Here is a 12797-nt window from a genome sequence, read left to right on the forward strand (position 1 = left end):
TTGGCCAGGCTGGTCTCAAACTCCTGACCTCAGGTGATCCACCCACCTCGGCTTCCCAAAGTGCTGAGATTACAGGCATGAGCCACAGTGTCTGGCCCACAGTTTTATTCAATATGTAGTTATTAAGCACCTACTGTTGCTGGGCATGGTGGGATTAAGCAGTGAAGGAGACCACCCTTTGTAGCCACAGGTAGTTGGCACTCGAAAAAGTAAGTTATCATCAACCTCATGTGCTAAGCAAGGACCCTCCCTGGACATAAGGAATCGGGCCTTGAAGTCAGCCCTTTAAAGGCTAAGAAAACAAGAAAAACACCCTGGCATTCAAAGCAAAGTGAACGTTCAGAACATGGGGGATTGGCGGGGGACAGGGTCTCTTGGCCCTCATCCTTTCTGCACAGAGGCCCTTCTGATCTCACAGTCCTGCAGAAACCTCACTGAGGATGTCGCTCAGAGTCCCCAGCCAGCCCCCACTTACCCTTGCTGCAAGAAACTGCAATGTCACCCCCGGCTTCCTCTGCTCCTTCAGTTAAGACACTGTTTACATTTCAGAAAGAATGGAGCTGGGAACAAACTCAGGCCCCCCTCTGATAGGCCCGATGATCTCTGAAGATCAACAGCTCGCTTTCTCCCAGGGGTTCCCCCTCATTTCTGGGGTGTTGTCCCACCAGGGCATCTGCTTGAGTCTTTGCTCTCAGGCACCATGGGTGGGAGCACAGGAGGGCCCCATCAAGGGGAGCGATCCAGCGAGGATGACATGGTCCCTGCAGTCTTGCTCTCCTGAATGGCGGTGGTGGGGCTGGCTAGGTGGATCCTGCCATCTCTCCAATGGGACAGCCCGCAGCTGTGAACAAGCCTGAGAATAAGCTGTACCTTCTGTTCCCGTGGGGGCAGACCTCCCAGATACATTGTTTAGCGCAAAAGCACGTGCAGTGCTGGGTGTGCAGTGTGGTACCTTTTGTGCAGAAAAGCGGGGAGGGGTAAGTGTGCTTAGGCTGCCGGGCTATGCATGATACTTTTTGGCATATATTAATGGGGTACAAGTGCAATGTTGCTACATTGTTATATTGCACTGTGGTGAAGGCAAAGTGTTAGGATGCACCCATCATGGGAGCCATGCGCCTTATGTCCACCAAGCAACCTCCCGCCATCTAACCCCCTCCCATGTCCCCACGCCTCTCGGTCTCCAATTCCATCATTCCACACTCTGCTTCCATGTGTACACATTATTTAGCTCCCACTTGTAAGTGAAAACATGCAGTATTTGCTTTTTTTTTTTTTTTTTTTTTTTTGAGACAGAATCTCGCTCTGTCACTCAGGCTGGAAGTTCAGTGGCGTGATCTTGGCTCACTGCAACCTCCACCTCCCAGGTTCAAGTGATTCTCCCGCCTCAGCCTCCCAAGTAGCTGGGACACCACCATGCCCAGCTAATTTTTGTATTTTTAGTAGAGACGGGTTTCACCATGTTGGCCAGGCTGGTCTCGAACTCCTGGCCTCAACCAATCTGCCCGCCTTGGCCTCCGAAAGTGCCTGGGATTCCAGGCATGGCCCACTGCGCCCGGCCAGTATTTGTCTTTCTGTGTCTGAGTCGTTTCGCTTAGGATAATGGACTCCAGTTCTATCCACATTGCTGCAAAAGACAGGATTTCATTCTTTCTTATAACTAAATAGTGATCCATGGTGTATAGGTACCACACTTTCTTTATTCAATCCTTCATTGATGGACACTTAGATTGATTCCATATCTTATATGCATGAAGACTTCTGCAAGGAGATTAATTCAGGCGTGCCCACTGTGTGCGAGGCACCACACTAGGTGTGTGAGATATAGCAGTGAATGAGATAGGCAGTCTCTGCCTCCGTGGAGCTGACATTCTAAAGAGAGGGATGCATAATTAAAACTCAATAAATATATCATTCCCTGGATGAGAAGGTGGTAAGTGCTCTGCAAGAAATAAATCCAGAAAGGAAGGCCAGGCACTGTGACTCACTCCTGGAATCCCAGCACCTTGGGAGGCCAAGGTGGGTGGATCACCTGAGGTCAGGAGTTCGAGACCAGCCCGGCCAACATGGTGAAACCACCTCTCTACCAAAAATACAAAAATTAGCTGGGCATGGTAGTAGGTGCCTGAAATCCCAGCTACTTGGGAGGCTGAGGAAGGTGAATCGCTTGAACCCGGGAGGCAGAGGTTGCAGTGAGCCACGATCGCATCACTGCACTCCAGCCTGGGTGACAGAGCGAGACTCAGTCTCAAAAAGATAATGAATAAATCAGGAAAGGAAGGTAGTGTGCACAGGTGTGGGAGGTCAGGGAAGTATCTGGGAGAAAGCACAACAGGCAGAGGGAACCACCAGTGCAAAGGCCCTGGGGTGGGAATGTGCCTGGTGTATTCCTGGAACAGCAAAGAGCCCCGTGTGAGAACAGTGGATGGAGTGGGCAGTTCAGGGAGGGACATATGGCAGGAGCCAGGGAGAGGTTGGGGAGGACACAGGACAAATTGACAGCAGAGGTTGCCTCTGGGTGGGGGCTGGGGGAGGATGTGACAAGGGCAGGTGCAGGGGACGCCCTGGGAAATGGGGGTTGAGGCAGAGGGTCACTTGCTCTGACCATGTCTGTGTGAAATGTTTACAGATGGAAAATGCTTTCTTGCTTTGTTTTTCAGCTTGGATATCTGGTTTTGGACATCCCTGCGTGCACTTCTGGAGTCTTTCGAGATTCAAGGAGGTCTCCTTTCCAGCATCTTTGCCCCACATTTTCTCCTTCTCAGCCTCCCTGAGAATGTTAGGAATTAGCCCCTGGGTGGCCTCACCCTCTGCTTGGGCCTGGAAAGCCAACCCCTGCCCCTTCCCTTCTTCCCAGGGCACAGACACGCACAGACACACACACAGATGGTGAAAGAGCCTGCACTGCAGTGGTGACTGTTGCTGCATCCAACTCTAAAGCAGCCCTGGCCCAAACCGCCCCGCTCAGACCTGGACCAAGGGGAGATCAGACCCCAAAGGCCTGTCCAGAGTGGGTGCGACCTGCGGTCTTAGAACTGAGCTTGTTTGTCCCTCCTGGGTTCCCTCTGGCTTCTGCCTGTCCGAGCCAGTCATACTGGATCTCTCATTTTAAAAATGAATGCTGCTGGTCCCCCTGGCTCAGAAGGGTCCTCCAGGCCTCTCTGGTGCCTGCCAGAATTATTGTAAGCCCAGCATTGCACGTGAAAAGTTGACAGGGCTCTAAAATCCCAGGGGGAAGGTCCCTCTAGCAAGTTAAAGTGGAAAGGATCCACAGATTCGAATCCGACAGATCTGGGTTCACCTCCAAACTCGGCTATCTCATTGAATCACTCAACAAACACGTTTTCTGTTGGTCCTGGGGTCCCACAGTGAACAAGACTCAACACGGAGGCAGCTCTCTGGAGGGCAGAGTGGGAGACACCTGGCTGGGCCTGCTGCATGTGTCTCCCACTCTTCCTGGTCCGTCTTCCTGAACAGCAGAAGCCAACGACCATGTTTCCAGGATCCCTTGCAGCTAGGGCTCTGTATGGATTCTGGGTCCAGCAACCCATTTATCACACTCAAATTCAGGACCAAGTCCATCGGGTGGAGAGAGGGTCTGCAGCAGCCACTGGGCCGAGTGGACTGCAGCAGGGGGTCAGACACTATGGGGACAGAGTCTCATTTGGAAGGTGGCTTCCCACCTGGGCTGGGGCAGCAGCTCCCTGGTAGCCCAGGCCTGTGACATCGCTGAGCATCCTGCCAGGAGGCTCCACCTCAACTGCTCAGGCCCTGTAGCACCCTGCGGGAAGCCCTCCAAACACCCAGGGCAGATCCTCTTCCCTGCAAGATTGAGGGAGTCACGAATCACACAAGCAAAGGAAGGAAGCATCATCAAGGCTGGTGAAGGGGGCCCAAAAGGATAGGGGCCAGGAGTGCTGCAGAGCACGGGGAGGACAGGTTTGAGATTAGGTGATCCTGGAGGGTCTCCCTGAGGAGGTGACATTTAAGACGGCGGCGGCCGGGGGTGAGGGAACAGCATTCTAGGTGGGAGAAACAGCAGATGCAAAGGCCACACCATGGGAAGTGACTCGATGTGTCTGAAGAATGGATAGAACACCGGTGTGGCTGGAGCGTGAGGAGGGGCAAGTCACTTGATCTCTTTGAGCCTCAGTTTTCCTCATCTGTAAAATGGGGCTGGACTCCCTCCCTGGCTGAAAGCACAAGAAATCAAATTAATATGTAATGGCATGCTGTTGTTTCAGGTGGTGTTGAGAGGAGAGTAAAGCACAGGGTGGCTGGGGAAGGCCTCTTGGGGGAGGTGACAATGGGGCACAGACATGAATGAAAGACAGTGCCAGCCACGAGGATGTCCACAGAAAGGACATTTGGGGCAGGGGGCGTGGCAAGTGCAAAGGCCCTCAGGTAGGATGCACGAGCTCGGCAAACACGCATGTCCTCGCAAGCCACAACACGGAGCCCACCCTTCCCCTACAAGCAATGGGAGACCCTGATGGGTTTCAGCAGGACTGTGGTCAGGTCTGGGCGTGTTTAGAATGGGGATCCCTGAGAGGCAGGGAGGCCGGGTGGGAGGTCTCATGGCAATGAGAAATAACGAGTGCCAAGACAGGGGCAGTGCAGGGGGTGGAGGAAATGGGCGCTGTGGAGGGTCAGCAGGTGAGATGTAGGGAATCCAGTGCCCCAGGCCTCAGGAGGAGAGGCCTGCAGGGGCGGGGCCGAGACAAGCCTGGGCAGGGAGAAGGGAAGGGAGCCCGTCTGTGCCTGTAGCCTGGGCAGGGAGAAGGGAAGGGAGCCCGTCTGTGCCTGGAAACCAATTTGCTCTGGCAGCGCTGTGGAAGAAAAATTCCACGCATGTCCCCGCGAGCCCTTCGAAGCTCTTCGTGGAAAGGCACACACTGCAGTCTTGGAGTGCATCCTGCTCTTAGGGCCTCTGGGGGCCAAGTCAAGCCGATGAAGGGTGTGCGATGTGGGTGGATCAGGCCTGGGAGGCTCCAGCGCGGCCTCTCCAAAGCCACCCATCCCATGATCTTTCCTACCTTCCCCATACCTCAGTTTCCTTTCTGTTATATGGGTGTCCTGTGAGCCCCTTCCTCACGGGGTGGCCGTTAGAATTAAATGGGATCCTGGGTGTAAAGCCTTAGCACAGTGCCAGGCCATATAGATGTCAGCCACAAGGGGAGGTGTGGGCGTGGGCCAGGAGAAACCCGGGAAGACTTCCTGGCAAAGGCAGAACTGGTGCTGAGACTGGCTAATCACTGCAAAGGCTGCCTGGGCTATTCCAACCTGCCCAGTTCATGCTCAGACTTCTGGAATCTGCAAGAACCTTTGGAAGGAGACACGATTATCAGCCCCATGGTATTACTCTCCTGTCGCTGCTGTAATGAATTAAGCCAAACGTGGTGGCTGAAAACAGTACAGATTCATTACCTTACAGTTCTGGAAGTCAGCAGTCTGAAGTGGCTCCTGGAGAGATGGAATCAAGGTGCCAGCAGGGCTGTGTTCCTCTTGGAGGATCTGAGGGAGAATCTATTTCCTCACCTTTTCCAGCTGCCAGAGGCTGGTGGCCTCGCCTCACTCCAATCTCTTCTTCCATCGCTGCATCTCCTCCCCAACTCTGACCTCCTGACTCCCTCTCACAAGGAAGCTTGTGATTACACTGGGCCCACCCGGATAATCCAGGATCATCTCCCATCTCAAAATCCTTTACTTAATCACCTCTGCAAAGCCCCTTTGCCATGTAAGGTAGCAGATTCACAGATTCTAGAAATTAGGATGGGGACATCTCTGGAGCTATTATTCCACCCAGCAGATCCGTCTCATGCATAAGAAAAACAAAGGTGAGAAGCCAGAGGGAAAGCTTGAGATCACCTGACTCAAGAGGGGAGCGTTGGCTTCGAACCCAGTCTGTCCAACTTCAAAGCCTGCAGTTGCCGTCATTTCAGGATTCCCGCTTTTCCCATGCGTATTGTCTGAACCTGCATTTGGGGGCTCCAGCCACTGCCTCATCAGTTCATCTTAATTGAGCACCTATTATGTACCAGGTAATGTTCCAGGCACCAGGGATACAGTGGTCACCAAGCCAGGAGAACTTCCCTGTCTGCACAACGCTCATAGTCACTCAATCACATCCATTATGAGGCAAGTCACAGAAACCTCAGCTCAAATCAACGTAAGCAATGAGGTCATTTATCATTTCACATAGCAAGAAATTAGGAGGAAGGGTGGTTCTGGGTTTGGTTAGATTGAGTGCCATTGTCAGGGATCTCCCGGTTCTTTCCATCTTTCTGGTTTCCTCCCCTCAGATTGGTTCTCATCCCAAATTTCCTCATGACCACAAAATAGCTGCCACTGCTCCAGCTAATATATCCAGGCACAACATTCAGTGCAGGAAGAACAAGAGCCCTTTCCCCAAAGCCCACTGCAGCCCTTTACTCATATCTCATTGGCCAGGATTGGGTCCCATGCCCACAGCTTGATTAGTCTCTGGCAAAGGAAACAGAATCACTGGCCTGGGACCAATCTGGATAGTCCCCTAGAGCTAAAGATGTGTCCCGATTTCCTGAGTCCCCTGGAGAGGCACAGGTCTCTCACTGAAATCAGGGTTCCCACAGCAAGAAAGAAGGGAATAATCACTTGGGCAGTAAATGGCCTGGGTTCAAATCCTAGCTCTGCCATATTCCCTATGAGTAGCTCTCTGGGCTTCAGTTTCCTTATCTGTAAAATGGGTATAGTAGCAGGACCTGGTTCATGGGGTTGTGGTGAGAATAAAATGAGTCAATGTGTGCAAAGCCCAGTGTGTGCAAAGCCGAGCTGTCAACAAAGCTCAGCTGTCATTATCTTTCCTAGGATCTTTCTCCGAGGGCAGGGCCCACAGTATGAATTCTCCTTCCATTGCCTGGACTGTAGAAGACTTTCGGTAGTTTCCCTCCACACCAAAAGGAAAATCTGCTCACAATGACCTCATTCCAAGAACTCCGTCCTAAAGGCTGGTTGGGGGAAGACTCAAGTGAGCCCTCTGCTCAGTGTCAATGGGGAGTTCCCATAGGTGGCCCAGGAAGGATGTGCCAAGAACAACAATAGTTTGGAAGTGCTCACTATGAGTTGGTGCTGGGCTAAGTGCTTGACACAAGGAAGCTCTCTCAGCCCTGTCCTGTCAGCCGCCATCAACAGTGAGGAAACAGAGACTCAGGAAAATAGAGCAGCGTGGCCTGAGTTACCCAGAGCAGGAGTGGAGGAAGCAAATAGGATCTGAACCCAGGTCTGGTGGGCCCCAAGGTTCAGCTCATGGATGGGTTCATGCGCCCCACATGAGGATTTAAACATCAGGCTATAGTAGGTGAACATATATGGCCTCTCCCACATACTGATGGCCAAGAAGCACACAAAAAGATGTCCAGCTGCATTAGTTATTAGAGAAATGCGAATCAAAACCCCGATGAGATAGCACCTCATGCCCACTAGGAAGGCTTTAATTCTTTTTATTTATTTATTTATTTGAGAAGGAGTCTCGATCTGTCGCCAGGTTGGAGTGCAATGGTGTGATCTCGGCTCACTGCAACCTCTGCCTCCCAGGTTCAAGAGAGTCTTCTGCCTCAGCCTCCCGAGTAGCTGGGACTACAGGCATGCGCCACCATGCCCAGCTAATTTTTGTATTTTCAGTAGAGACGGGGTTTCACCATGTTGGCCAGGATGGTCTCAATCTCTTGACCTTGTGATCTGCCCACCCTTAGCTTCCCAAAGTGCTGGGGTTACAGGCGTGAGCCACCGCACCCAGCTTAATTCTTTTTAAAAAGGGAAAATAACAAGTGTTGGTGAAGATGTGGAGAAACTGGAACCTTTGTGCATTTCTGGTGGGATTGTAAAATGGTACAGCCACTGTGGGAATAAGTGTGGCTGCTCTTTGAAAATTGAAACATAGAATCATCATATCCAGGAACTCCACTCCTCCGGGGTATATATCCAAGAGAACTGATAGCAGGGCCTCAAACAATTACTCATACCTCAAGGATCATGGCAGCATTATTCACCATGGCGGACGGGAAATGTCCATGGAAGAATGAATGGATACACAAATTGGAGTCCAGCCAAACACAAAGGCCACACCCCGCATGATTCCATGTACATGAAATGTGCAGAATAGGTGAACCCATAGAGACAGAAAGGAGATTCACGGCTACCAGCGGCTGGGGATGAGGGAGTGACTGTTCATGGGCATGAGGGGATTTTGGGGAAGTGACAGTGTTCTGGAACTAGATAGCGGTGGTGTTTGCGTGGCATCGTGAAGGTACCTAACGTCAGCGAACAGAATACTTTAAAATGGTAAAATGGCTGATTTTATATTATGTATATTTACCACAATTTAAAAGGAAGGAAGGAAGGAAGGAAGGCAGGCAGGCAGGAGAAGGAGGTAGGAGGGAGGGAAAGAGGGAGGGAGGAAGGAGGGAGGGAAGAAGGAAGGAAGGAAGGAGAAGGGAAGGGAAGGAAGGAAGGAGAAGGGAAAGGAAGGGAAAGTAGAAGGAGGTAGGAGGGAGGGAGGGAGGAAGGAAGGAGGCTTCTTTTGCAGAAATCAGGATCTGGCCACGCTGGGTCTTTCGCTGATCACAGCGGCCCCTGTCCAGCATTCCTGGCCCCAGTAAGCTTCTGGCGTTTCCAAAGGTGGCAGGAGACTGGGCAGCCGACATAGCAGGAGGGAACATCGCGCTCTGCCCTCCCCATCCCAAGCCCTCTGGCCTGGCCCTGCCCACAGGGTAAAGAGGGAAGTTCCAGGCTGGTGCTGCTGCTGCTGTGGCTGCCATCCCTTGTCCCTAAGTCTGGGCCCCAGGCCCTGGGTACAGCTCCCTTCCTCACCCTGCCAGGGCCCATGACCTCCTTCCGTCCTTTCAGGATTTTGCAGGAAGTGGAAGAGGCGTGTAGAAGGTGCCAGAGGACAGACAGGAAGCCAAGTGAGTCTCCCTCAGGGACAGGGGAGAGAGACTGCCCCGAAGGCTAAATGGGGAGGGGTGACCGAGGCCTGATGTGGATCCTGCCCTGGGGAGCTGCTGTGGGGGCCTGGGGATCCTGCTGCGCCCAGCTTGGATGAATGCACAGCTGGAGCTGGAGGCATGAACTCAGATTTCCCTCCCATCTCCCTGGGCTCCCTCTCAGCCTCTCTGCCTGCTTCTTGGGCATCTTCCCACCCTCGAAAGGTGGCACCCCCAGGGCTCAGGTGCTCTTCCAGACTCCTGTCTGTGCACAGGCGTCCGTCCATGTCTGCATCCATCCTGGAGCTTAAGTCAAGGGGATGGATGACTTTAGAACCCCAGTTGCAGCCCGGGCTCCTCTCGGGAACTCCAGACTCCAGATCCAACCACGGACAGGCCCACTTGCCTTGTCTGGTCAACAGGTGATGTGAACTCACCATGACCCAAACCACCTCTGCCCCCTCACGGCCTTCCCTGTCTCAGGGGAGGGCAGCTCCATCCTTCCTGACAATCAGGCCCAGAACCTGGAGCCAGGGTGGGGGTGGGGGTCTGGGGAGGGGGCTTCGGTCACTCCAGGGAGGACATGGGCCAGTGGTGGGCCCTGAGAGGGGCTAGAGAAGGCCAGGCCATTGGCGCATCAGGGGACGCAGGGACAGGGCAGGAGAGTCCTCGCCAGGCTCCAGGCCGCGCCATGAGGCCTCTGTAAGCCATCTTCTCACTTTCTTGGATACACATGAGTTTTTAATTTTGATGCGGTCCAATTTCCCTATTTCTTCTGTATGGTGGATGTTGTTGATTCTGTTTCGGAAATGAGGGAACTCAGGGTCAGAAAGACAAAGGGACTTGCCGGGCGCGGTGGCTCATGCCTGTAATCCCAGCACTTTGGGAGGCCGAAGGGGGCGGATCACGAGGTCAGGAGATCGAGACCATCCTGGCTAACACGGTGAAACCCCGTTTCTACTAAAAATACAAAAAATTAGCCAGGCGTGGTGGCGGGCGCCTGTAGTCCCAGCTACTCGGGAGGCTGAGGCAGGAGAATGGCGTGAACCCGGGAGGCGGAGCTTGCAGTGAGCAGAGATCGCGCCACTGCACTCCAGGCTGGGCGACAGAGCGAGACTTCGTCTCAAAAAAAAAAAAAAAAAAAAAGAAAAAGAAAGGCAAAGGGACTTTTTCTGGGATCACGAAGCTCAAAAGTAATCCAGTTGGGATTAGAACCCACATTTGTCCGTAAAACCCGAGACACCAGGAGCATCAGTGAAGGTGCTTTGGGCTGTAGGTGACAGGAAAACCCAGCCCACATGGCTTTAGCAATGAGACCTAGCGGCTCCCCATCAGGAATATCAGGGGCAGGGGGCTCCAGGCTGGCGGACCCAGCAGCTCAGTGACACCATCAAGGACCCAGGTTCTTTCCTCCTCTTTGATCTGCCATCTTCAGTGCTGACCCCACCTGTAGGCCGGGGAGCAAGAGGGAGGAGCATTTTCCGGAGTCACCTTCAGATAGTGCATCCATGAAATAACAGAGACCCTCCCGGACCATGGGTGTCCCCACGAGAAAAATTTATTCAGATGTCCCGCCCAGAAGATTTTCCCCACATCTTATTGGCCTGAATCGAGTCACATGCCCACGCCTGAACCAATCCCAGCACAGGGAGAATGGCTCACTCTCAGACCAATCAGGGTCCTCCCTGGAGTCCGTGGTAGCTCAGGGAGGCTCCCAGCAGGGTGAGAGAGGCCGAAACCCAACAAAATCAGGGTCTCTCCTGATTATCCCCTCCCCCAGTCTTTCCAGAAGTGCAACCTGAGGTGATTGTCAGTGACGAACTTTTTCATAGGTTTTGGATGAATCCTTTTAATAGTCATTAGTTTTTATCATAGTTATTCTGTTGGTGCAAAAGTAATGGCAGCTTTTGCAATTCCTTTTTTTTTTTTTTTTTTTTTTGAGACCGAATCTCACTCTGTTACCCAAGCTGGAGTGCAATGGCGAGATCTTGGCTCACTGCAACCTCCAACTCCTGGGTTCAAGTGATTCTCCCGCCTCAGCCTCCCACCTTAGCCTCCCGAGTAACTGGAATTACAGGTGCCTGCCACCACGCCTGGCTAAGTTTTGTATTTTTGTAGAGACGGGGTTTCACTATGTTGGCCAGGCTGGTCTTGAACCCCTGACTTCAGGTAATCTGCCTGCCTCAACCTCCCAAAATGCTGGGATTACAGGCGTGAGCCACCGTGCCCGGCCGCAATTACTTTTAATGGCAAAAACCGCAATTACTTTTGCACCAATCTTAATATTATAATCTTTTATTTGTGGCAAGTGATACTGATTTTCCTTTTTCTCTCTCTCTTTCTTCCTTCCTTCCTTTCCTTTCTTTCTTTCTTTCTCTCTCTCTCTCTCCCTCCCTCCCTCCCTCCCTCCCTCCCTCTCTCTCTCTCTCTCTCTTTCTTTCTTTCTTTCTTTCTTTCTTTCCAGGGTTTCATTCTGTCACCCAGGCTGGAGTGCTGTGGCGCCACCATAGCTCCCTGCAACCTCAATCTGCTGGTCCCGTCATCCTCCTGCCTCAGCCTCCTGAGTAGCTGTGACTACAGACGCATGCCTGCAGGCCCGGCTGATTAAAAAAAATTTTTTTGTAGAGATAGTGTTGCCCAGGCTATTCTTGAACTCCTGGGCTCAAGTGATCCTCCTGCCTCGGCCTCCCCAAGTGTTAAGATTATAGGCATGAGCCACTGTGCTCAGCCTAATTTATCTTTAATGATAGCTATATAATTTCCTTTTAAAAATAAGTTTAGGGCAAACAAAGATAAATCCTCACTCACTCACTTGGGAGTGTGAAATGGTCGAACCACTTCGGAAAACTGTATCTACTATATCTGAACATATGCCCACTTGATGACCCGCCAATTTCAATCCCATAATGCTAGCACTTTGGAAGGCCGAGGTGGGCACATTGCTTGAGTCCAAGAGCTCGAAAACAGTCTAAACAACATGGCAGAACCCCGTCCCTACAAAAAATACAAAAAATTAGCTGGGCACCTGTAGTCCTAGCTACTCAGGAGGCTGAGGTGAGAGGATCAGTTGAGCCAGGAGGTTGAGGCCGCAGTGAGCCATGATCGTGCCACTTGCAATCCAGCCTGGATGACAGAGCAAGACTTTGTCTAAAAACAAACAAACAACAACAACAACAACAAAAACCATGGGCAACGGGGTGGGCACAGGGTTACTCAGAACACTCCAGAATACAGACTCCCCAGATGCCCATCAACATAGATGGAGAGGCTGGATTCGGTGGCTCACGCCTGTAATCCCAGCGCTTTGGGAGGCTGAGGTGGGCGTATCACTTGAGCTCAGGAGTTGGAGACCAGCCTGGCCAACATGGAGAAACCCTGTCTCTACTAAAAATACAAAAATTAGCCGGGCGTGGTGGCGCGCACGTGTAATCTCAGCTACACAGTGGGGAGGCTGAGGCAGGAGAATCACTTGAACCCTGGAGGCGGAGGTTGAGATAGCACCACTGCACTCCAGCCTGGGTGACGGAGCGAGACTCCATCTCAAAAATAAATAAATAAATAAATAAAAATAAATAAAATAGATGGATAAATAAATTGTGGTTCTTTACACCGTGGAATCCCATTCAGCAATGAAAAAGAACAAACAACCTCTGCTATAACAACATGGATGAAGCAGCCACAAGAGTCTAAACTGTAAGAACCCATGGATCTAAATCCCAAAGCAGGCAAAACTGATCTGCAGTTAGAAGTCTTGCTGGGCAGGTTAGCTGGGCACGGTGGCTCACACCTGTAATCCCAGCACTTTTTGAGGCCGAAGCCAGCAGATCACCTGAGGTC

General features: G+C 52.0%; 2 annotated features.

Moving 5' to 3' along the window:
* Nucleotides 10446-10740: an enhancer, noted in NCBI's record as "tiled region #12812; HepG2 Activating non-DNase unmatched - State 3:PromF, and K562 Activating DNase matched - State 8:EnhW". NCBI's record gives its function as "activates a minimal TATA promoter and a strong SV40 promoter by Sharpr-MPRA in HepG2 and K562 cells {active_cell/tissue: HepG2 | K562}" and the evidence as "EXISTENCE:reporter gene assay evidence [ECO:0000049][PMID:27701403]".
* Nucleotides 10467-10636: a silencer, noted in NCBI's record as "fragment chr12:125068470-125068639 (GRCh37/hg19 assembly coordinates)". NCBI's record gives its function as "represses an EF-1alpha promoter that drives an FKBP-Casp9 reporter gene in an ReSE screen in K562 erythroleukemia cells {active_cell/tissue: K562}" and the evidence as "EXISTENCE:reporter gene assay evidence [ECO:0000049][PMID:32094911]".

The sequence above is a fragment of the Homo sapiens genome, chromosome 12, assembly GCF_000001405.40.
Source record: "Homo sapiens chromosome 12, GRCh38.p14 Primary Assembly".
Lineage (NCBI taxonomy): Eukaryota > Metazoa > Chordata > Mammalia > Primates > Hominidae > Homo > Homo sapiens.